General features: G+C 43.1%; 3 protein-coding genes and 1 pseudogene across 28 annotated transcripts in view; 1 reads left to right on the forward strand and 3 right to left on the reverse strand.

Annotated features, from left to right (window-relative positions):
• Positions 1-7230, reverse strand: part of RSF1 (remodeling and spacing factor 1) — a 212224-nt gene extending 204994 nt beyond the window's left edge. The window contains exon 1 of the mRNA XM_017017923.2: positions 7150-7230. Within this exon, the coding sequence (XP_016873412.1) occupies positions 7150-7213 (64 nt within the window). The 5' untranslated portion in view covers positions 7214-7230. The remainder of the gene's footprint in view (positions 1-7149) is intronic.
• The window catches only part of AAMDC (adipogenesis associated Mth938 domain containing), an 84881-nt gene that overhangs the window by 43859 nt on the left and 16893 nt on the right, over positions 1-24129 (forward strand). For 16 of the 25 annotated variants that reach the window (NM_001392037.1, NM_001316960.2, XM_047426836.1 and 13 more), the window contains 2 exons: positions 4720-4815; positions 7173-7350. In NM_001392037.1, the coding sequence (NP_001378966.1) occupies positions 4720-4815; positions 7173-7313 (237 nt within the window). In that variant the 3' untranslated portion in view covers positions 7314-7350. Of the gene's footprint in view, positions 1-4719; positions 4816-7172; positions 7351-11947; positions 12048-13699; positions 13755-19777; positions 19915-24129 lie in introns of those variants that run through there. The other 9 variants (NR_171642.1, NR_171640.1, NR_133637.3 and 6 more) reach the window with 5 other exon arrangements.
• On the reverse strand, positions 3694-4233 carry RPL21P95 (ribosomal protein L21 pseudogene 95; annotated as a pseudogene).
• INTS4 (integrator complex subunit 4) overlaps positions 9360-24129 on the reverse strand; it is a 120307-nt gene continuing 105537 nt past the window's right edge. The window contains exons 22-23 of one of the 2 annotated variants that reach the window (XM_017018560.3): positions 18830-18950; positions 9360-12028 (exon numbers count right to left, since the gene is read on the reverse strand). In XM_017018560.3, coding sequence (XP_016874049.1) covers positions 12009-12028; positions 18830-18950 — 141 coding nt within the window. In that variant the 3' untranslated portion in view covers positions 9360-12008. Of the gene's footprint in view, positions 12029-13717; positions 14126-18829; positions 18951-24129 lie in introns of those variants that run through there. The other variant, NM_033547.4, reaches the window with a different exon arrangement.

Below are 24129 nucleotides of genomic sequence, written 5' to 3' on the forward strand. Positions count from 1 at the left end.
CTCTATTTCCATAGTTCTTACTCTCTCCTTCTCTGGACCCATATAGTTGAATTCCCATAAGGTAAAGGCCCCTATAATATGTCTCCCTTGTATATATTTTGCAAATTAGACACAGTGTCTAATGTGGTTGAGTCCCCAACATTCATTCTACTGCACATGATTTGCCTAACTAGTCATGGTTTAGTTTAGTAATGGATTACTTAGCATGATTACTTAGTGTGAAGGCCAAGGTGTTGTAATAGAAATCTCAAAATTCAGTAGCATAAAGAAGATAGAAGTGTCTTTCTCTCATAAATTATTGTGGCCAGTCCAAACTGGTGGTAGGGTGGGAGAGATGTGGATAGCACAATTTCATTTAGGGGCCTAGGTTTTTTCTTTCTGTTGCTCTATCATCTCCTAGAACATTTGAATTGTAGGAACCGGTTGTAGGCATGGCAGGGCTCTAACTTGCAAGGAAGAGGAAAGAGAAGAAAAGCTCATGCCAAACCTATATATGAAATCATTTCTTCTGCTCATGTTCCATTGAATTTTATATTAGTGATAGCACAGTCACATGACCACATTTAACTGCAAGAAGTACAGAAAACGGAGTGTCTAGCTTATCAGCTATATGCCCCAGAAAATGGGCAGAATGGATTTTGAAAGAACAACTAGTCATCTGCCATTATGAGATGGGAGGGTAAGTTGGCTAGCAGACTTTTGGAAAAGATTTCCATTTTCCTAAACTAATAAAGAAGCACATATAATACTAGACCAAAAGTTTGTTGTTAATATTTTGATAATTCCACTTGTATGAAATGTTTCCTCTATAATCTTACATATCTTCTTTTGTGTATTCTAAAACATTATTCTGAGAAGGGGACCATCGGCCTCAATAGACTGCCAGAGGGGCCTGTAGCACAAAAACAGGCCTCTGCCCTGGCAGAGGCAGCAAGATTATTTAACAGCCTGTTAATTCAGACAAGCAATAATGAGAATGTGACTCAGGCAGTGTCCACAGGGGATAGATTCCAGAGATCCTTTAAACTTCACTCACAGAATCTGCTTTTATCAGCAATACAGCCAGATGATAGCATTGCTACTACCCATTTATGCTCACTTAATTTTGGCAGAAGGAAATACTTCTTTGGAAGAGTAGTTTAGGAATGTTTTCTTTTTAAAGTTAGCATGAAATAGGGAGAAATGTTCAAGACAGACAGGATGCCATCTTGTTGTTTAGCTGGCATAATGGATATTAGCTGGACATTTTTCCACAATTAATAGCTTCCCCCGCAGAAAAAACAATAAGCTTTTACCACCTTAGATCGTGTGACAGAAAGCCTCTTAAAGTAGAGGAACAGAATCAGACACTCAATAGGAAGAAGAGCCTTAGTGATTTGCCCTGAGGGATTGGAAGCAGCACAGGAATTGCTAGTGGCAGGTTGAGGATGCCTCAATAATAGTCTCAAGCTCCAATCCCATGGATCCACAGGCCCTTGCAGAGTTATCTTTCATTGCTTTGTACATGACACTGTGAGCCTGCAGTAAAGCAGCAGCAGCCCAGTTCATCACTTGAGTTCCATTGATCCAGCCACTCCAATGGGCTGTGGCTGTCTCCAGTCTAATCTCCAGAGGATTATGGGTTTGTAGTCTCCTATGACCTTACACTTGGATTTCCAGCAGTCAGTGGCCTCTTGTTTCATTTTACTAGAATGTGAGCTCTGGGTGAGAGAGTGAGACTCCATCTCGAAAAAAAAAATATTAAAAAAAATAAAACTGCACATGTAAATATGTAAGACATTATTATTACAGGATTTAATGAAAACTCATATTCATCCTCCCCATACGTTTCTTTTTTTTCTTTTTCCTTTTTTTTGAGACAGAGTTTCGCTCTTGTTGCCCAGGCTGGAGTGTAGTGGCACAATCTCAGCTCACTGCAACCTCCACTTCCTGGGTTCAAGTGATTCTCCTGCCTCAGCCTCCTGAGTAGCTGGAATTACAGGCGCATGTCACCACACCCGGCTAATTTTTGTATTTTTAGTAGAGACAAAGTTTCACCACCTTAGCCAGGCTGGTCTTGAACTCCTGACCTCAGGTAATCCTCCCTCCTTGGCCTCCCAAAGTGCTGGGATTACAGGCATGAGCCACTGTGCCCGGCCCCCATGCCTTTCATAAATATATAAATTTCATTCCTATCTCCATAACGTCTCATCTTCCTGAACTGGAAAACGCTTCTTTCTCTCGCCCATTTGTTATCTCTTTGATAATTTCAACAGCTCTTTTCCTATACCATCTCTACCATTAGAAGGTACCCCTTCTACAACCACTGCATTCAAGGCCTATTCATTTTCATACTTCGAGACCCAGTTAAAACAGCATGTCTTCCATGACAGTTTCCCACTTGGGTTTATTCACTCTGTCTTCTGAGATCCTCAACTCCATTTCTTCTCATCCTACTACAAATATTTGCACATTTTCACTAACCTTACCTGAATGAAACTCCATGGAACATTTGGTTCATCTCAGTATTGCTACTGCTTAGAAATACTGAGACTTGGCACAGAGTTAAGTTCTCAGTAAATGCTGGATGAATGAATGAAAGGATAGAGGTATATGGGTCAGGAAAGGAATGCTTTGTCTTTGGGAGCTTCAGTGCTAAAAGCATTGTCCTTGTGCAGAAACATAACAGGTGGAGCCCAGTAGGTTGGGCTGGTAGTTCCCAAACTCTAACTCCCATATCCCCTTTGCTGACACAGAGGTAGTTCAAGAAGCTACCATCCTTTAATGCTCAATTCATCTTTGTTAAACACATCACCTTAAATGTGCCTAGAAGACTGGGAAGACTTTTCAGAGTGATTGGTAGGTTTTAAAGCATAAAAAGAAGTTTCCTGGAGTTAGCTGGGAAGATTAGGAAGTTCAGAAAAAAAGTAACAATATAGAGATTGTTATGAAATTTTTCTAAAGTCAAAATTTTAGCATGCTATGCAAGTGCTTTCTTTTCCCACCTCATCTGTCACTCTACAAACAAGTTGTACTGACTTTAACTGTTCTTCTAGTCTTTTTCTTTCCTCTGAGCCTTTTTTTTTTTTTTTGAGACAGAGTCTCGTTCTATCGCCCAGGCTGGAGTGCAGTGGCACAATCTTGGCTCACTGCAAGCTCTGCCTCCCAGGTTCACGCCATTCTCCTGCCTCAGCCTCCCGAGTAGCTGGGATTACAGGCACCCGCTACCTGGCCCGGCTAATTTTTTGTATGTTTAGTGGAGACGGGGTTTCACCGTGTTAGCCAGGATGTTCTTGATCTCCTGACCTCGTGATCCACCCGCCTCAGCCTCCCAAAGTGCTGGGATTACAGGTGTGAGCCACCACGCCCAGCCGCCTTTTTTTTTTTTTTTTTTGAGATGAAGTCTTGGTCTTGTTGCCCAGGCTGGAGTGCAATGGCGTGATCTCAGCTCACTGCAACCTCTGCCTCCCAGGTTCAAGTGATTCTCCTGCCTCAGCCTCCCGAATAGCTGGGACTACAGGCACGCGCCACCACACCCAGCTAATTTTTGTATTTTTAGTTGAGATGGGGTTTCGCCATGTTGACCAGGCTGGTATCAAACTCCTGACCTCAGCCTCCCAAAGTGCTGGGATTACAGGTGTGAGCCACCATACCTGGCCACCTTTTTTTTTTTAATGTACAGTCCAGAGGTTTTTGTTGTTGTTGTTGTTGTTGTTGTTTTTTAACACAAATTATGGCGTGAATTCACAGGGAATAGGCTCCAGCAACTCAGGCTCCTTCCCACTGGTTCTTACACAGTGTGCTTCTCTGGGTGTAGCAGGCTGGCGCTTAATTTGAACCCGGGTACCTTTCTCTCTGGCTTCCTTCTTTTACTAAACATTTTCCTTCACACATTTCAGGAAGCTCTATTGGCTCTTAGTGTGCTTAATGTGCTCAATAGGCACAATTCTCTTGGCAAGAATCTGGCCTGTAACTTATTTGTTTACAACAATGCCAACAGCACGTTGGGTAATACCGTAGACTCTTCCAGTTTTGCCATGGTAACATTTGTGGGACATTCCTTTTTGAACAGTACCCATTCCCTTGATGTCTACAGTATCACCTGTCTCATAGATTCACATGTACCATGTGGCCAAAGGAACAACTCCATATTTTCTAAAAGGCCTAGAGGACATATATTGGGTGCATCTCCTCTTTCCCTTTGTATTTGTCATTTTGGCAAATTACTGGAAGATGGTTGTTCCAGCCAAAAGGTCCTGAGCCTTTTAAAATGCTTTTTCCTGTACTTGGAATGCCTTGTTTCCCGGATTTCGTTTATTTATCTCTTTTTCTTTTTTTTTTTTTTTTTTTAGATAGGGTCTCACTGTGTTGCCCAGGATGGAGTGCAGTGGTGCAGTCATGGCTCACTGCAGCCTCGACCTCCCAGGCCCAAGCAATCCTCCCAACTCAGCTCTCCTGAGTAGCTGGGACTACAAGCATAAGCCACCACACCCAGCTAAGTTTTTATTTTTTGTAGAGACACGGTCGGTCTCCCTATGTTGCCCAGGCTGGTCTTGAACTCCTAGGTTCAAGGGATCCTGCCTCGTCAGCCTTCCTAAGTGCCTTAAAGAGCCTATGAGTGATGCTTGGCACAAAGTGAACCTCAGTAGACATTTCTTGAATGAATGAATCCCACAAGAATGCCTATTGCAATGAAAGATTGAGAGCAGGTACCTGTCTACTTTCTCTTTCCACATCCAGCATTCTCCTGGTGTGCAGCCTGCAGATGTGAAGGAAGTTGTTGAGAAGGGTGTACAGACTCTTGTGATTGGCCGAGGGATGAGTGAGGCCTTGAAGGTAGGTGTTGGTATGCACAGCATTCCTGAGGACAGGTGGGGATCTCTTGGGCCTTTGTCTTACAGACTTGTCCTTCTTGGGAGGTCATCTTTATATATCATGTACCCTCATTTTGCTGACCCAGGATAGCAGTGGCTGCACACATTCCTCTGCCTCATCAGCGTTGGGCTCTCCAGTCTACCTAACCCTGAGACAGTGTCATTTCAACTATTTCTCAGAATCCCTCAAGTTCTACAAGGATCACTATTTGGTCCTTTATATTTTAATAATACTTTATATCCTCATAGTATATTTTATAGTACTTCTAATTTTTCTTTTATTGGACACATTTATAGTTTTCCCCTCTTCAGAAAAAAATTTAATTTAATTTTTTTTTTTTTTAAATATAGATGGGGTCTCACTATTGTTGCCCAGGCTGGTCTTGAGCTCCTGAGCTCAAATGATCTCCCGCCTCGGCCTCCCAAAATGCTAGGATTACAAATGTGAGCTACCACGTCTGGCCTATTTTTTAATTTTTTTTTTTTTTTTTTTTTTTTTTGAGACGGAGTCTTGTTCTGTCGCCCAGGCTGAGTGCAGTGGCGCCATCTTGGCTCACTGTAACCTCTGCCTCCCGGGTTCATGCCATTCTCCTGTCTCAGCCTCCCGAGTAGCTGGGACTACAGGCGCCCACCACCACGCCTGGCTAATTTTTTTGTATTTTTAGTAGAGACGGGGTTTCACCGTGTTAGCCAGGATGGTCTTGATCTCCTGACCTCGTGATCCACCTGCCTCAGCCTCCCAAAGTGTTGGGATTACGGGTGTGAGCCACCATGCCTGGCTTATTTTTTAATTTTCTTACAGAAATAATATATGCTCATTGTAAAAGATTTAAAAATTCAATGCAGAAATGTAGAAGTAAAAAGGTGGGAGATTCCCTTCCCAATCTTCACATTTGATGTATATTTCTCCAGTCTTCTCTGAATGCATCTGCAAATATATACACACTTACACATATAGATATACGTTTATATACTTATAACCATTTTACATAAATAGGTCAGTGCTATATGTATTCTATAACTTTTTCCCCCACTTACATTACTGTATTATGGATAGTCATCCATATAGAGGCCTACCTCATTCTTTCCTTTATAGATGTCTTACAGTCCTGTTCCTTACTGATGAAGGTGCCCCTTACATCTAGGGCTTTATATATATAGGGCACCTTCATCAGTAGGGCTCAAGCAATCCTCCCATTTTGGCCTCCTGAAGTGCTGGGATTAAAGGCTTGAGCCACCATGCCCAGCCTATTTATATTTTAAAATTTTAAACTAGTTTGTTTTCCCCATTACAATAATTCCTATCTGATAGGGTACTTTTATAAATCTCAAATATATAGAAAATATAGGGCATATTAAAAAATATTTCACTTGAGTTCTTTCTGAGGCAGAGTCTAATTAAAATCTATTTTTAAAAAATATTCAGGACAAGCCAGAGTTGAGAAAATATCTAATAATAGCTGTCACTATTAAGAACATCTTTTATATAAATTCATTTACAGATATTTATTAAGCATTTTCTATGGGTAAGGCACTATTCTAGAAACTGGTGACGGTGCGATAAACAAGACAAACAAGGTTCATGCCCCTCATGGATAATAAAAAACTAGACAACTTCAGATAATAATAAACGCAGTGAGGAAAATGGTGACTTATGCTGGGCTAGTAGGGGGTGGGCAAGAAAGGCCTTTGTGAGAAGACATTTGAGCTGCAGTGTACATACATGAGTCAATTTCATCCTCACACCAACCCTGTGATGTAAGTACTATTATACCTATTTTACAAGGGAAGAAATTGGGGCTGGGAGACTTTAAAGAGCTAGCCTAACATTTCTTAGCTAGCATGCGGCAAAGAAGAAATTTAGACTCAGTTTAGACTAACTCAAACATTTAACATTTATGGAGTTTGCACACCAAGGTAGATGTTTCACATACCCTTAGCTCAGTTAGTTGTCATACCAACCCTAGGTGTTAATGTCCCTAATTTACAGACATGAAAACAAAGACTCAGAGAATTTAATTTACTTACCCAAGGTTACAGTGCTAGTAAGGATGTAAATCCAAGGCTAACTGCAAATCCCATGTTCTTTCATTTCCATTTCACTTGAGCTTTATGCATGGGTATTATGATACCTCTGACAAAGAGGCCTTTTTGACTCATTGGGGCTCACTGCCAAATTTTGGACTGGTGATACACTGAGTGATCGTGAAGTGACGATTGTCACTGTCTAATTCTGTAGAGTACACCTGCCTCATGGCAGTAAAGGAACCCCTGGGGGGCCTTTCCCCCTACTTACTCATCTCTTTTCCACCTTCCCAGGTGCCTTCATCAACTGTGGAGTACCTCAAGAAACATGGCATTGATGTGCGGGTCCTCCAGACAGAGCAGGCAGTGAAGGAGTATAATGCCTTGGTTGCCCAAGGGGTCAGGGTGGGAGGTGTCTTCCATTCCACCTGCTGATGGAGCCTTAAGAGGAGAATAAATCACTAAGTGCCTATGCCTGTGACTGTCACTCACCATTCTCCAAACCAGCCTCCCCTAAACATTTTTGGACACCTACTCATGCCAGGTCCTGTGCTAGGCTCTTGGGATGCAGGGATGACCAAGACAAGGTCCCTGTCCTTGAGGGTGCTAAAAGAAAAAAAGATGAGACAGAAGTTTAATAATATAGTGAATGAACTGAGGGAACATCTGAGTAACAGGAACAGTAGGAGTATGCCCTGGGAGTTGGGTTCTAGACAGGCTGTTCTACTAACCAACCCTGAGACTGGAGCCAGATTGTTCTCTCTGGGCTTCAAATTTCAACTATAGGCCAGGCGCCATGGCTCACGCCTGTAATCCCAACACTTTGGGAGGCCGAGGTGGGCAGATCACTTGAGGTCAGGAGTTCAACCCCAGCCTAGCCAACATGGTGAAACCCCATCTCTATTAAAACTACAAAAATTAGCTGGGCATGGTGGCACGAGCCTGTAATCCCAGCTACTTGGGAGGCTAAGGCAGCAGGAGGATCACTTGAACCCAAGAGGTAGAGGTTGCGGTGAGCCGAAATGGTGCCACTGCACTCCAGCCTGGGTGACAGTGAGAGACTCCGTTTCAAAAAAGAAAAAATTCAAGTATAAAATGTTGGGGCTGGCTAGATGCCCTTTAAAGGTTCCTACTGGCTCAGATAGTCTTTGTTCTATTAAATACCGAGGTGGCCTTTGTGAAGCCTTAGAATAGACTGAGAGAACTACAAGCTATCAGCATCACCTTATTTTTAATTTTTCTTTCTTTTTAAAGAACTATGGGCTTTGGTGTCAAATAGCCTTGACTTTGAACTGCAGCTCACTGCCACTCACTGGTTGGGTATTTGTCTAATTTCTTAGTTTCACTGTTCTCATCTGTCAGATCAGGATAACATTAGCAGTACCTGGAGTCATTGTAGGTATTAAATGAGGCAATTCATAGAAAGTATTAACTCACTGCATGGCATTTAGTAAGGACTCAATACATTAAACCACTGTTGTCCTTATCTTTCTATTAATGGGGATACTGTGTAAAGCCAACTAGTTTCATTTTATGGTTCTTAATATAGCAGCTTATTATTTCAAAGAGCCATAGAATGTTGGAGCCCAAAGGAACTATCTCACTCATTTATTCAGTAATTCTCTTTCATATCCATTTACGGACAGCCTATTACTAATTTTCTTATGACCAGTTATTGTTGGGCCCTGGGGGAATAAGGATGAATGTTACAATTCCTGCCTTTGGGAATTATGTTGTATGAGAGAAAGACAAATAAGTAAACAATAATGATACAATGTTAATATTATAATAGTTACTAGGTCCAGTGGTGGCACAAAGAAAAGACTAATTTATCCCACTAGGATGGAAGGAAAATTAAGGAAGACATCACTAAGGAGATGACATTTAAGCTGAGTCTTAAAAAATGGAAGGTTCATTAATTCACTGAAAAAACACTTACTTGGCAGCTCTTTTAACTAGACATTTACTAGGTATGGTATTTATCACAGCCATAACTAAATAAAATCGCTCCACCCCAGCCATCACTGGAGCAGCAGCAGTGGAAAGATGATTTTTGCTTCACATGATCCTGCCACCTGACTACGTAGTTAGTTAGGCTTCTGACCTACAGGGACCAATCTATAGACTGGACAGCAACTTAAGATGTGGCTTGGCAAGAAAAGCTGAAACAGTATGGAAAGTGAAGGGATTTATTTTTTTCCAAGTTCTCCAAGTAAGTGGCAGACGTAGGATTAGAACCCAGCACTGTGTCTTTATCAGTTTATGGCATACACCTCCTTGCTCCCTAGAAGCAGACGGGAGTGAGTGCTTCACAGACCCGACACCCAGCATTGAAGTCTCGGAAGGATCTGCTTGGTGCCCTTTCCGCAGCCCTTTCATTTGTCAGATGACAGATCTTTCTAGATCTGTTCCCTTGGCTCATAAAGCCAGCCCTCTGTATAGCTAAGAAGGATGTTTGATAAAATTCAGACTGTTTCTCTAGTGATGCAGTCTTTTTTTTTTTTTTTTGGTCAAATGTAAGGTGAGACAGCTCTGGTGGGTGTTGAATTCAGTGTGGGTGTAATCATTCTTCCTAAGTGAGTTGTCTCCAATTAAAGAGAACTTAGTGTAAACTTCTTAGAGACAGAAGTATCTGTCAGTGACATTATTAAACTTTTAAGAAAACCTGCTAATACATAGCCCCTACTTTGGAACCTGGTGCACATGGTTAACGATGGAAATATGTAGAGCTTGAAGGGAAGCTGTTTCTCCACATAACTATACTTAGTCCTCTGTCTTAAATCATTAAAGCCTCTGAGTTAGTTTGTAGGTAGAACAGCCCTCAAGCTGCCCACAGGTCATTTCTTCTAGCCTGAGTGGTTAAGACAAGAAGTTGGCCGGGTGCGGTGGCTCACGCCTGTAATCCCAGCGCTTTGGGAGGCCGAGGTGGGCAGATCACCTGAGGTCAGCAGTTCGAGACCAGCCTGGCCAACATGGTGAAACCCCATCTCTACTAAAAATACAAAAATTAGCCAGGCGTGGTGGCACGTGCCTGTAATCCCAGCTAGTCTACTTGGGAGGCTGAGGCAGGAGAATCGCTGGAACCAGGGCGGCAGAGCCTGCTGTGAGGTGAGATCGTGCCACTGCACTCCAGCCTGGGTGACAGAGCAAGACTCCATCTCAAAAAAAAAAAAAAAGACATGAAGCTGGCCACAGCTAGGTGTGTACCTTTCTTCTCCATGATTGTGTTTGCTGAGTTCAATCATCTCAAAGCAAATATAAAGTCCTTTCAGAAACCTGAATCTTTTTTTGCAGCATGCCATGGTACTGCTACCTTTGCTCTGGAGACATAGAATCATTCTTTCCTTGCCCGGTTATGTGCCAGGAGTTGTGCTGGGCATACAGCACAGACATTCTTACAGTCCAGGTACAGATCAGTTGGAAGAAATAAGGCGTGTAAACATTACAGTGAGGATGTAGAAGTTGCAAATTGGCACAAATCTGCCTGGAGACATGTTTTGTTTGTCTCAGTAATTTTAATATTTACTGTAGTTACCAAGGTTTTTTAACTTTCATGAAAATGAAGATTTCTGGCTGTTTTGGAAGAATGGGAAGAACTGACACCACTAGGTCCACACTTATAAATGAAAATAACTGAGTGGAATGGAATAGCACCGCCTTCTCCAACAGAGAATGTGCTCTCTGATTCTTCCAATTGCTGTTATCTTCTAGGCCACTTTATTCCTTTACTTTTCCTGCCTACCTTTCTTAAGGGGTTTGCATTTGTGAACCTGCAATGCCATATTAATAAATACTATACTATGTGTGAAGAATATAGTATAGGAGGCTGTGGGAACATAGAGGAAATGTTCCAAGCCCATAAGAGACACAGATATGTCCTAGAACAAGGCCCAGTCCTGAAGAATGGAAGGAAAGAACCACAGGAGACAGTCTGAGGAGCACATTCCCAGGCTCAGCAGGTCCAAAGGCCTAGAGGTGACAGAAAAAGACTACAGGTAATTCTGTTCAAGTGGAGTACAGAGACAGTTTGGGACAGGGAGTATGAGGCTGGAAACGAAGCAGAGCCATGAAGAGCCTTCAAGACAGGAGTTCAGACTTTTTCCTGGGATGAGCAGTGATCCACTGAAAGGGACTGAGCAGGGGAATGGTGTGGTCAGATCAGCTCATCACTTAAGGAGGGCTGATGGTGGTTCCATCAGTATACAAACAGTATAAGAAGAGGACTAAGAAACATGAAGGAAGAGGAATCTAAAGGACTTGATGGCTACTTTTGTATGAGGGATGAGGAAGGAATCCAACGTGCCAAACAGGTTTCTGGCTCTGACTGCTGGGTGCATGCTAGACCACTCACTAAGAACAGACCCCTGTGATGAAAGTCACCTGGGGAAGAAACCAGAGGCCTGGGTTCCAGGCTTAGCTTCACCACTAACTCAGTCTCTCTGGGCCTGCGTATTCATTTGTAAATGAAGGTGCCACACTGGAGTGCTCTTTATGCCCCCTTCGAAACCTTTATAAAAAGGTCTTTTTTTTTTTTTCACTTCAGTGAAAAAGTACAGAATCAGATAGAGAAAAACTAAAATTCTCATGTTCCCCAGAACGTGAAAATTCAGGGTAAAAGCAATTTAAAAAGTTGAGCCCAACCCCGATACGATACTTGAATTGCTTAGCAACAAATTTGTCAGGAGCTTGTTCAACCTCTGCCCAAACTCATCTAGCCTGGAGAATTCTATACCCCCTAGTACAGCCCGTTCAATTCTTACACAGCTTTTAAAAATGTATTCTGATACCAAGCCAAAACCTGTCCCTTAGTGCATGTCTACCTTTGATGGAAGAAGTACTACATTTTGCATTTTTAAGACAGGATCAAGTCCTGGCTTTGTCCCTTAGGAGACAGACATTATCTCAAAGCCTCTGTTTCCTTACATGGAAAATGAGGGCTAACTTGGAGGATTTTTATAAAAGGGGTACTTATCTGAAAAATATCAGCATATTCTTCCCTTAGAAGGTTTTCTATAATTACAGCACGATGGGCTCAGGCAGCAGCCATGGTTCTTCATGTTTTTGTCTAGGCTCCAACCCAGCAGCTGCCATCAGGTGTTCATGTCAGGGCTGTGGTACAATTCCACCTGGCTACAGCTTCATGGCACATCCTTGAGAGATGCAAAACAGGTAAGCACACTAGAAAAGTCAGCTCCCTGGAGTTAATCATTCTTCCCCTAGTCCCTCTTTCGCACTCATGACCTCGTGGAAATAGACTGCCTGGAAATAGACTGCCAGATCTGTCATTTCCTAATTGTGTGACCTAGGACAGGTTACTTATTTCTCTCAACTTCAGCTGCCTTGTTTATAAAATGAAGATAACAGTACCTAGAGAGTTAATTAATTAATGTAAAGAGCTTACAACACTGCCAGGTACACCCAAGTACCTTAAACCAAAAGTTAAAACATGCTTGAATTTAAATTCCAGCTCCACCTCTGAGTAATTGTATTATCTTGCTATTATTTTTATAAGCTTGCCAAGTGTCAAATATGATCAAGACTGGCTGCAGGTTCAGATTCTACCAATTGTTATTTAATCCATCCTACTCAACCACTGTTGAGGTCCAATTATCTTCGTTTCACAGATGAGGAAACTGAGGCAGAGAGAGCTGAAGATTTGAAGGCTTTTTCCCATATACTTCCCCTGAGGTGGTATAGCTTAGACCTTTGGGATCTTCTTGGATTTGAATGAATACAGGCTTTATTACTTACTGTACAGTAATAGCCTCATTTGGCTATTGTGAAGATTAAATGACAGGTAAAGTACATAGCACAGGCAGTACCAAAGGTTAACCTCTCTGGAGCACTGACTGTTATATCACACTTGCAATTTTTTTTTTTTAAACAGAGATGGGGTCTCGCTATGTTGCCCAGGCTGGTCTTGAACTCCTGGGCTCAAGAAATCCTCCTGCCTCCTATAATCCCAAAGTCCTGGGATTATAGGCATGAGCCACAGCCCCCAGCCCCATGCCTAAAACTTTTAACTCACATGCAGCATCAACTCATCAGAGATGCTGCAGTAAATTACTTTATTTCTTGCACTGGACCCCTGTTTCCCATAATCTTGATTTCTTTTGTAAAATATAGCTCTTCTATATTATTTATTTAAAGCCATAGAGGTCCTAAGAATAATGGCAGGCAAGATCAAGAATTTCCTTCAAAGCAAGGCGCGGTTGCTCACACTTGTAATCCCAGCATTTTGGGAGGCCAAGGTGGGCAGATCACGAGGTCAGGAGATCAAGACCATCCTGGCTAACATGGTGAAACCCCGTCTCTACTAAAAATACAAAAAATTAGCAAGGCGTGGTGACAGGCGCCTGTAGTCCCACCTACTCAGGAGGCTGAGGCAGGAGAATGGCTTGAACCCAGGAGGCAGAGGTTGCAGTAAGCCAAGATCACGCCACTGCACTCCAGCCTGAGCGACACAGCAAGACTCCATCTCAAAAAAAAAAAAAAAATTTCCTCAAAGATGAAAATGATTCATTCTCCAGCTATTCAGTCCTTGGCCCAGCTACTGCCTGCATTAGGGAAGAGGCTTCTTAGCAAGGTTAACACATGTTTAAGGTCCTTCAGCAACTGTCAATGGTAAAAAAAAAAAGTACAGCTGTTAAAGCGGCCTTGGAGTTGCCCTGACAAACACACCGTCACTTTAAGAAATAAGACTATAGCTCAAATAACCAGTTATCAGGAGGTAACTGGATCTTTGTGTTTCACACCTGAGGAATAGCATGTAAGCACGTAGTATAAAAGCTGAAGCTATAGCCACACGCATTTCTTTACAGACCAGGAACTAGAACAGCTTGGTGTTTTCTCAACTTTATTGTGGACAGGAGAAGGGTAAGTAGACTTGAAGGTTTTTTATTTTTTAATGAAGAAACAATTTATCCTGTGTTTGATACCAGATGAGACTGTAAGGGTCACATACTCCTTAAGCCTACACATCAATTCCAGGTGAAGTGCTTCAGGCTTGGCTCATTCTGACACCTAAGAAGGGCCCTCTAGGCCACGGTTGGGAAGACTGTTTTTGCCTTAGCGCCGTGCAGGTTTGGGCATTATATAAACTTTTACAGGCTTGCTGAAGGGAATGGTGCCCTCGATGCTGGTTTCCACCTGTGGTGACATCTCACCACCCTCCATCCAGGGGCATTTTGGAATGCGAGCACTGGAGTTGTAGGCCAGCAGCAGCCTCACTTCCACCTGGCATGCCTCTGAAAAAAAGATAAAAGAAATCCTCTATAACTAGGCAACTGCTAGGAATGAGGATGAAATGTGAAGTTAAAGAAATATCAAAATGGAAGCAGTAGGGAGAAATTTCTTCATCCGTCTACATTCCCTCCCCTTACCCTCACCAAACAAAACACTGAGCCTGCAGATGTGATGCTGTTCCATCACCTTCCCCTTGGGCTCACTGTGGCACAGAGCCAAAGCTGCTGAGGCAACTGGAGAGCAAGCTAAAAACCCTTCCAGGAAGATAATTGCTTCATGATCTGCTTTATGAACTGGGCTCAAATTCTTATGCAGGTGTGGATTTGGGCAGTTTCAGAAGGTGCATGTGGCTTATTCTGATACCCAGTTGGGCTCTTCCTGCGCAGTTCCATCTCAAGCCTCAGGGCTGCATGTACCACAGACTACTTTATTAGTGGAGAGGAAGCCTTTGAATAGGAAGTGGTTCGCCAAAAAGTTTCTGGCCAATGAACAGGAACATGTCTCAGGGACCTAAAATGTCTGAAAACATCTCATTCTTTCATTACATTATCTTACGATATAATCATCTAGTGTCTCTATGTGGCAGGTCCTAGCAAGAATAATTAAGAACTCCCCTCAAGTTGCCTGCTGTTTGGTTGAGGAAACAGATAGTTGCAATGGAGTACAACACACGCTCTAACCAAGCCTGCAAGAAGTACTGAGGAGGAGCGCAGGAAGGCTTTGGAATAGAATATCCATTCTATGCCAAACAGTTAACCCCAAGAGTTCTTATCCTGCTACATTATGAAAGAAAGACTGTCACAATCTTGGCAAAAATCCCAAGAATCAGATAGGTTCTCAGAGACTCCCCAGATGCACACCTGGGTAAGAATTTGAGCCCAGTTCATAAACTGAAGCAGTTACTCATTCTATTAACCACAAGCTTCTATAAAGAAGAGGGAGAGAATTTCAGAAAAATGTAAGGGCAAGTGCAAAGGCCAGGAATGGAGTGAGCTTGGGATGTCTCCTTAATTTGGTGCAACCAGAGCAAAAAGTGTAAGTTGAAGATGATCCCAAGGCTAAGAAGTTCAGAGGGTAGGAATGAAGGCTAGATGGATCTAAATTAACAAGGGCAGAGACTCCAGGACTTCTCAGTGCCTCCCCAGACCTCTTCCTGGTTACATCCAAGCTTCTCTCTATGGGTCAGAGTAGAGACTGGATTGCTGTCCTCCAGGAAGGGAAAGGTTTGCAGTCAGCCCAAGGCCAGAGCAATCCAGTGCACCTCAGATTTCAGCATGAGATCTAAGTGCAGCCTCATCATCAAGTACCAGCCATGTGATAAGCACACACTCACATGACAACATGAGGGTCATGCAGCAGCCATGAGTGTAACTGTCATGAAACTAACACTGTTCTCTGATACCAGGCTCCAGATGAATCTCCCACTTAGGGTGGAATCAAAATAGGTACCTATATCTGCTTTCCTGCCACACTCTCCCATTCCATCCCAAGTGGCAGACCACAACCACAGCCCCAGTTGGCATAGCACTTTCAAGAAGCCAAATCCTGGTAAGAGCTGGATAAGGCTCAAGCCTATAATCCCAGCACTTTGGGAGGGCAAGGCAGGAGAATCACTTGATCCCAGGTGTTTGAGACTAGCCTGGGCAACATAGTGAGACCTGTCTCTACAAAAAATAAAAATAATTAGCCAGGCATATAGTCTCAGTTACTAGGGGGACTGAGGTGGGAGGAACCACTTGAGCCCGAGAGGATCACACCACTGCACTCCAGCCTGGGCAACAGAAGGAAACCCTGTCTCAAAACAAACAAACAAACAAACAAAAAAACAAAAAAACAAATAAATCCTGCTAAGGTCAGAGGGAGTTGATGTAGGACTCAGCCCTACAGGGTCATTTTGCATTCCCTTACCAACATTTGATAAGAATGGCAATTCAAGGCAATGCCATAGGAGTAAAGCGGAGAAGAGAGAAAACAAGAAGGAGGGGAACTTGGGAGAAGGAGACAAGATCATCTAGGATAACTCAAGCAACTTCTGCGTCATGCCTGGAAGAATATTTCTCCTAGCAGGTTTATATTCTTATTCTCATCTTAATGAGACAGGGAAGTAAAATAACTTTCTCAGGATCACACAGCAAAGGAAGCAGAATTTGAAACATGGTCTATGACTGAGCTTCCTACGTGGCAGCATCCTGCCTCCCAGAGGAGAGGCCCCTCCCTGGTGGGGAGCTACTGAGGGATTGAAGGAGCTCCCTAGAAACTCCAGGCCCCATCACCTAGATTAGGAGAAAGAAACTGCAAGCTCATTTACAATGAGACATATTTCACTTCAGTGCCCCAAACCGGAAGGGACATAGCACAGTGAGGGCTGGGAAGGGTGACTGCAGCTTTAGCACTGTCACTGATCAGGTATGTGGGCCTCCATTTATGTATCTGTAAAATGAAAAGAGAATACTAATTTCCACTGCAGAGTTGGTCTAAAGATTAAATGAATTTTTATTGCACATTTAAAACCTTGTATTCAATTTTCATTATTTGTTGAGTGCCTACTACATGTCAGGCACTAGAGACACAGGCTACTAAAACAATGGAGATACAGAGGCAAAGACAAGCAAGTTCCCTGCTCTATAGAAGCCTACATCCTAATGGGAAAGTCAGTAAGTAATTAAATGTGAAAACACATCTGAAACCAGTACGCACTATATATAAACAATTAAAACAGGGATTTGTAATAGTGACTGGGTAGCGACCATTCAGAGGAGGTGATCTTGTTTTCTTGTTTCTGATGGTTTTTTTTTTTTTCTTTTGAGTCAGGGTCTTGCTCTGTTACCCAGGCTGGAGTGTAGTGGCATGATCAGGGCTCCCTGCAGCCTTGACCCCCCAGACTCAAGCAATCTTCCTGCCTCAGCCTCCTGAGTAGCTGGGACTACAGGCACATGCCACCATGCCCAGTTAACTTTTTTATATATCTATTGTAGAGATAGGGTTGCCCTATATTGCCCATGCTGGTCTCAGACTCTTGGGCTCAATCGATCCTCCCACCTCAGCCTCCCGAAGATTACAGGTACAAGCCACCAGGCCTGGCTGTGATCTTGTATAAGTTAAAATTATTCAGGCTCAGGATCGCCTGGCAATACAAAACAAGGAAGTCTGCAATGAACTAGGATACCTTAAGAGGAAATGGGGCCTAGGAAAAAGAACCTTGAGCTTGGGGGCAGATCAGCTGAGTTCTAACTCTGGCCTTGGCAATGACTTGCTGTGTGACCAGGGACAAGTCAGACCCTCTCAAGACCTTCCACGATCTTTGGAGCTACAGCATACTGTAATTTGCTTTCCTGAGCCTTGTCCCTCCCAAAACAATACTGTCCCACAGCATTTCCTTCCCCATGTCCGGGATCCCTTCAGCAGAAGATATTAGAATAAGGAATCTATTTTCCTGTGGGGCCAGTGGTTTGGCAAATAGTGCAAAAACATTCCAGGCAGCCAGATTATGGAATGAGGAATACTCAGGGAAGCACGTCCTGGGTAGCAGAACTGCTGGATGCTCCCTCAACTACACCAGGCCTACCACCACTAGAACCCCAAAGGGGCTGCCCTAACATCCAACAGCTTCATAAAGTCATCATTACCCATCTAACACCCTGACAGAGGGAAACCATTAATAAAGGCCCAGCGCAGTGGCTCATGCCTGTAATCCCACTACTTTGGGAGGCCAAGGCGGGTGGATCACCTGAGGTCAGGAGTTCGAGACTAGCTTGGCCAACATGACGAAACCCTGTCTCTACTAAAATACAAAAAAATTAGCCAGGTGTAGTGACGTGCACCTGTAATCCCAGCTACTCGGGAGGCTGAGACAGGAGAAGCACCTGAACCCAGGAGGCAGACAGAGGTTGCAGTGAGCCGAGATTGCACCACTGCACTCCAGCCTGGGCAAGAGCAAGACTCCGTCTCAAAATAATAATAATAATAATAATAATAGCCTTATAATTATGTGTTTAAAAACACAGAGTGAAAGAAAATTCCAAAAGGCATTCCCTATCTCTAAAATAAACCAAATTTGGTGGCATTAAACACCTCCAGTAACAGTGCTCCTGAACCATCTCCAATTATTTGGGAAACACCACTGAGGCCAATTCTGCCCCCTATTCTAGGTTCTGCAGACTGAGGTCTTCTTAAGTTTTTTAAAGCAGGCTTACAGGCTTGAAATGTAATCTCCTTTGTACTTGTATTCTCCCATTTTATCCTCACAATTCAGACATAAGTTGGCAAATGAAAAAAAATATTTTTAAAAATCCTCACAACTAATTTGTAGGTTGAGAATTATTATTGTCATTTGGAAGATAAGGAAAAAGACTCAGAAAGGGAGAGACTTGTCTAAGGTGACCAAGCAAGTCGGTGGCAGTTAGGATAAGAATAATCTCCTGGTGTCCAGACCAGGGCCCTTTCCATGAGACTCCATTCTATCATAATCGCCTGTATATCTTCCAACAGAATCTTATCTCTCATGCAATCAAAGCACTGTAGCAAATTAGCCCAAATATACCCAGTTTTTTACCCACTTAATGAGTGCTTATAAACTCATTAAGTTCAATTCTTACAAGGCCTGATTCATCCATGTATTTTTTTCAAACTTTAAAAACCAAACGCTTAAGGGTAGGTGTGATCTCCAGCAGCATATTTCCCTTCCCACCCTGGTCCTGACTCCTTACCTGTCCAAGCGGTGTGGGAGAGATAAACCTGAGTGATGAGCCGGTGCCGCCCTGGGCCAGGATTCCGGAAGTCTGCAGGCTTGGGGTGAATCATCTGAGCCTGGCCATCTGGATATAAGACCTAAAGGGTGACAGAAATGAGAAAAAGGCAGAAGCGAGAGGAGCATTTAACAAAATGGATGATGACATCTGTTGTGAACCTCAAAACACAAGAAGAAACATGACACCAACTTTACTAAGATTGAGCCTTGGGGGTAGGTCAACACTGTAGACATCTCTATTCCCCTAATCCAGCATGAAGCAGTGTTCAGTAAACATTTCCTGAATTCATGGTGAATAAGTAATATGAACAGAGTGTCTCTATTAAGCGCAAAGACAGGTAAGAATATTAATTCTTATTATGAAAAGTGTTCTCAGGCACCTTCACCAGAAGAGCACTCCCTCCCTGGCTCTGAATCATACCATGGCCCAGCATCCATCACCAACCACCAGTATTTGGAGTTATTTTGTAATTGCATTCTTTCCACTACATTGCAAGCAGCTAGGAAGTCATTTATCTCTCTCTCTACGGAGAGACGGCTCAATGAAGAGTCCACTCAAATCACTGGCCAGTTCTTTAAGGCTCATAAACTGCAACAGAGTTCTTTCCTCAGCATCCTGGGGGACCTCCCAGCTCCCTGTGTAGACAGCCTACTATACTGCAGCGCACAAAGGAACTAGAGGAACAAATGAAGCTTATCCTAGGACTAGGACCTGCTCTATGTAAATATACTTATGAAGGCAGAGTAGGGAACCACACAGGTCTTCCAATGTTGAAACTGTGGTCAATGTTGAAACTGCGGAAGGCATGTCTCACCCACTTGCCCTATAATCCTTCATCTCTCCTCAGGTCATGGGGCCTCCCCCTGATTCTACACTTCTTTCTTTCTTTTTTTTTCTTTAAAACAGGGTCTTACTCTGCCACCCAGGCTGGAGTGCAGTGGCACGATCATAACTCACTGAAGCCTCAAACTCCTGGGCGCAAGTGATCTTCCTGCCTCAGCCTCCTGAGGAGTGGGGATTACAGGCACGTGCCACCACGCCAGGTAATTTTCTTTTTAAATTTTTTTGTAGAGACAAGATCTTGCTATGTTGCCCAGGCTAGTCTCCAACTCTTGACCTCAAGTGATCCTCCTGCCTCAGACTCCCATAGTGTTGGAATTACTGGCATGAGCAATTGTGCCCAGCCTACCCTTATTTCTTTTTCTTTTTCTTTTTTCTTTTCTTGAGATAGTCTCACTCTGTCACACAAGCTGAACTGCAGTGGCATGATCTCGGCTCACTGCAACCTCCGCCTCCCGGGTTAAAGTGATTCTCCTGCCTCAGCCTCCCAAGTAGCTGGGATTACAGGCGCCCACCGTCATGCCCGGCTAATTTTGTATCTTTAGTAGAGATGGGGTTTCACCATGTTGGCCAGGTTGGTCTCGAACTCCTGACCTCAGGTGATCTTCCTACTTCAGCCTCCCAAAGTGTTGGGATTACAGGCGTGAGCCACCACACCTGGCCTACCCTTATTTCTTAAAGCTGCTACTCCCCACTCTAGTTCTAGGCTCCAAGCTCCCAAACCTACTATAGGAAAAAAATGCAGGTGTCTCAGTTTCCTGATCCTTATTATCTTTAAAGACAAGTGCTTGGGCTTCATTTTTTTTTAGAAAATGAAGGGGAGGGCCGGGCACAGTGGCTCACACCTGTAATCCCAGCACTTTGGGAGGCTGAGCCAGGTGGATTACTTGAGGTCAGGAGTTCAAGACCAGTCTGGTCAACATGATGAAACCCCTTCTCTACTAAAAATACAAAAATTAGCTGGGTATGGTGGCGTGTGCCTGTAGTCCCAGCTACTTGGGAGGCTGAAGCAGGAGAATCACTTGAACCTGGGAGGCAGAGGTTGCAGTGAGCTGAGATCGCTGCCACTGCACTCCAGCCTGGGTGACAGAGTGAGATTCTGTCTCAAAAAAAAGAAAGAAAGAAAGAAAAAGAAGGGCAGAGGGGGGCTGAAACAGCAATGATCATGGGAAAAACAAATGAACAGGGGCCATAATTTCTGTGTTCAGCAGGTGCAGTGGCTCATGCCTATAATCCCAGCATTTTGCGGGGCTGAGGCGGGAGGATTGCTTGAAGACAGGAGTTTAAGACGAGACTGGGCAAAAAAGTAAGACCCCCCAATCTCCACACAAAAAAAATTAAAATTAGCCAGGTGTAGTGGTGTGTATCTCTAGTTCCAGCTACTCAGGAGGCTGAGGCAGGAGGATCCCTTGGACACAGAAGTTTGAGGTCACAGTGAGCTGACCATGCCACTGCACTCCAGCCCAGGCAACAGACAGAGACCTTGTCTCAAAAAAAAGAAAAAAAAAATTCCCAGCATTCTCAGCAAAACTGTCCTTGGTGAAAGGCCTTCACTCCTCTGTGAAATGGTTGCTGGAAGCCTTCTTTCATTTGTCTACTCCAAAAGTGGAGCTTAGAAACCTGTGGCCCAAGTAGGTCAGAGGAAGGAAATGGCCAGTATGAATGATCATCAGGTAGAATACAGTAACCTAGATTAGGCTTACAAGAGTTAATAATCGCGAAGGCCCGCGGCGGGTGTTGATGCCATGTGATTTCTGCCCAGTGCTCTGAATGTCAAAGTGAAGAAATTCAATGAAGCACGGGTAAACGGCGGGAGTAACTATGACTCTCTTAAGGTAGCCAAATGCCTTGTCATCTAATTAGTGACGCACATGAATGGATGAACGAGATTCCCACTGTCCCTACCTACTATCCAGCGAAACCACAGCCAAGGGAATGGGCTTGGCGGAATCAGCAGGGAAAGAAGACCCTGTTGAGCTTGACTCTAGTCTGGCAGGGTGAAGAGACACGAGAGGTGTAGAATAGGTGGGAGGCGCCCGGCGAGGGGGCGGGGCAGGGTCCGCAGGCCTTGCTAAGAAACTCACTCAAAACCGCTCAACTACATGGAAACTGAACAACCTGCTCCTGAATGACTACTGGGTACATAACGAAATGAAGGCAGACATAAAGATATTCTTTGAAACCAACGAGAACAAAGACACAACATACCAGAATCTCTGGGACACATTCAAAGCAGTGTGTAGAGGGAAATTTATAGCACTAAATGCCCACAAGAGAAAGCAGGAAAGATCCAAAATTGACACCCTAACATCACAATTAAAAGAACTAGAAAAGCAAGAGCAAACACATTCAAAAGCTAGCAGAAGGCAAGAAATAACTAAAATCAGAGCAGAACTGAAGGAAATAGAGACACAAAAAACCCTTCAAAAAATTAATGAATCCACCACCAAAAATCCTCAATAAAATACTGGCAAACCAAATCCAGCAGCACATCAGAAAGCTTATCCACCATGATCAAGTGGGCTTCATCCCTGGGATGCAAGGCTGGTTCAACATACGAAAATCAATAAATGTAATCCATCATATAAACAGAACCAAAGACAAAAACCACATGATTATCTCAATAGAGGCAGAAAAGGCCTTTGACAAAATTCAACAACCTTCATGCTAAAAACTCTCAATAAATTAGGTATTGATGAGACGTATCTCAAAATAATAAGAGCTATCTATGACAAACCCACAGCCAATATCATACTGAATGGGCAAAAACTGGAAGCATTCCCTTTGAAAACTGGCACAAGACAGGGATGCCCTCTCTCAGCACTCCTATTCAACATAGTGTTGGAAGTGCTGGCCAGGGCAATTAGGTAGGAGAAGGAAATAAAGGGTATTCAATTAGGAAAAGAGGAAGTCAAATTGTCCCTGTTTGCAGATGACATGATTGTATATCTAGAAAACCCCATCGTCTCAGCCCAAAATCTCCTTAAGCTGATAAGCAACTTCAGCAAAGTCTCAGGATACAAAATCAATGTGCAAAAATCACAAGCATTCTTATACGCCAATAACAGACAAACAGAGAGCCAAATCATGAGTGAACTCCCCATTCACAATTGGTTCAAAAAGAATAAAATACCTAGGAATCCAACTTACAAGAGATGTGAAGGACCTCTTCAAGGAGAACTACAAACCACTGCTCAATGAAATAAAAGAGGATACAAACAAATGGAAAAACATTCCATGCTCATGGGTAGGAAGAATCAATATTGTGAAAATGGCCATACTGCCCAAGGTAATTTATACATTCAATGCCATCCCCATCAAGCTACCAATGACTTTCTTCACAGAATTGGAAAAAACTACTTTAAAGTTCATATGGAACCAAAAAAGAGCCCACATCGCCAAGTCAATCCTAAGCCAAAAGAACAAAGCTGGAGGCATCATGCTACCTGACTTCAAACTATACTACAAGCCTACAGTAACCAGAACAGCATGGTACTGTTACCAAAACAGAGATATAGATCAATGGAACAGAACAGAGCCCTCAGAAATAATGCCACATATCTACAACCATCTGATCTTTGACAAACCTGACAAAAACAAGCAATGGGGAAAGGATTCCCTATTTAATAAATGGTGCTGGGAAAACTGGCTAGTCATATGTAGAAAGCTGAAACTGGATCCCTTCCTTATGCCTTATACAAAAATTAATTCAAGATGGATTAAAGACTTACATGTTACACCTAAAACCATAAAAACCCTAGAAGAAAACCTAGACAATACCATTCAGGACATAGGCATGGGCAAGGACTTCATGTCTAAAACAGCAAAAGCAATGGCAACAAAGGCCAAAATTGAGAAATGGGATCTAATTAAACTAAAGAGCTTCTGCACAGCAAAAGAAACTACCATCAGAGTGAACAGGCAACATACAAAATGGGAGAAAATTTTCGTAACCTACTCATCTGACAAAGGGCTAATATCCAGAATCTACAATGAACTCAAACAAATTTACAAGAAAAAAACAAACAACCCCATCAAAAAGTGGGCAAAGGATATGAACAGACACTTCTCAAAAGAAGACATTTATGCAGCCAAAAAACATATGAAAAAATGCTCATCATCACTGGCCATCAGAGAAATGCAAATCAAAACCACAGTGAGATACCATCTCACACCAGTTAGAATGGCTATCATTAAAAAGTCAGGAATCAACACGTGCTGGAGAGGATGTGGAGAAATAGGAACACTTTTACACTGTTGGTGGGACTGTAAACTAGTTCAACCATTGTGGATGTCAGTGTGGCAATTCCTCAGGGATCTAGAACTAGAAATACCATTTGACCCAGTCATCGCATTACTGGGTATATACCCAAAGGATTATAAATCATGCTGCTATAAAGACACATGCACACATATGT

Source organism: Homo sapiens, chromosome 11 (assembly GCF_000001405.40).
Source record: "Homo sapiens chromosome 11, GRCh38.p14 Primary Assembly".
In the NCBI taxonomy this organism is placed as follows: domain Eukaryota; kingdom Metazoa; phylum Chordata; class Mammalia; order Primates; family Hominidae; genus Homo; species Homo sapiens.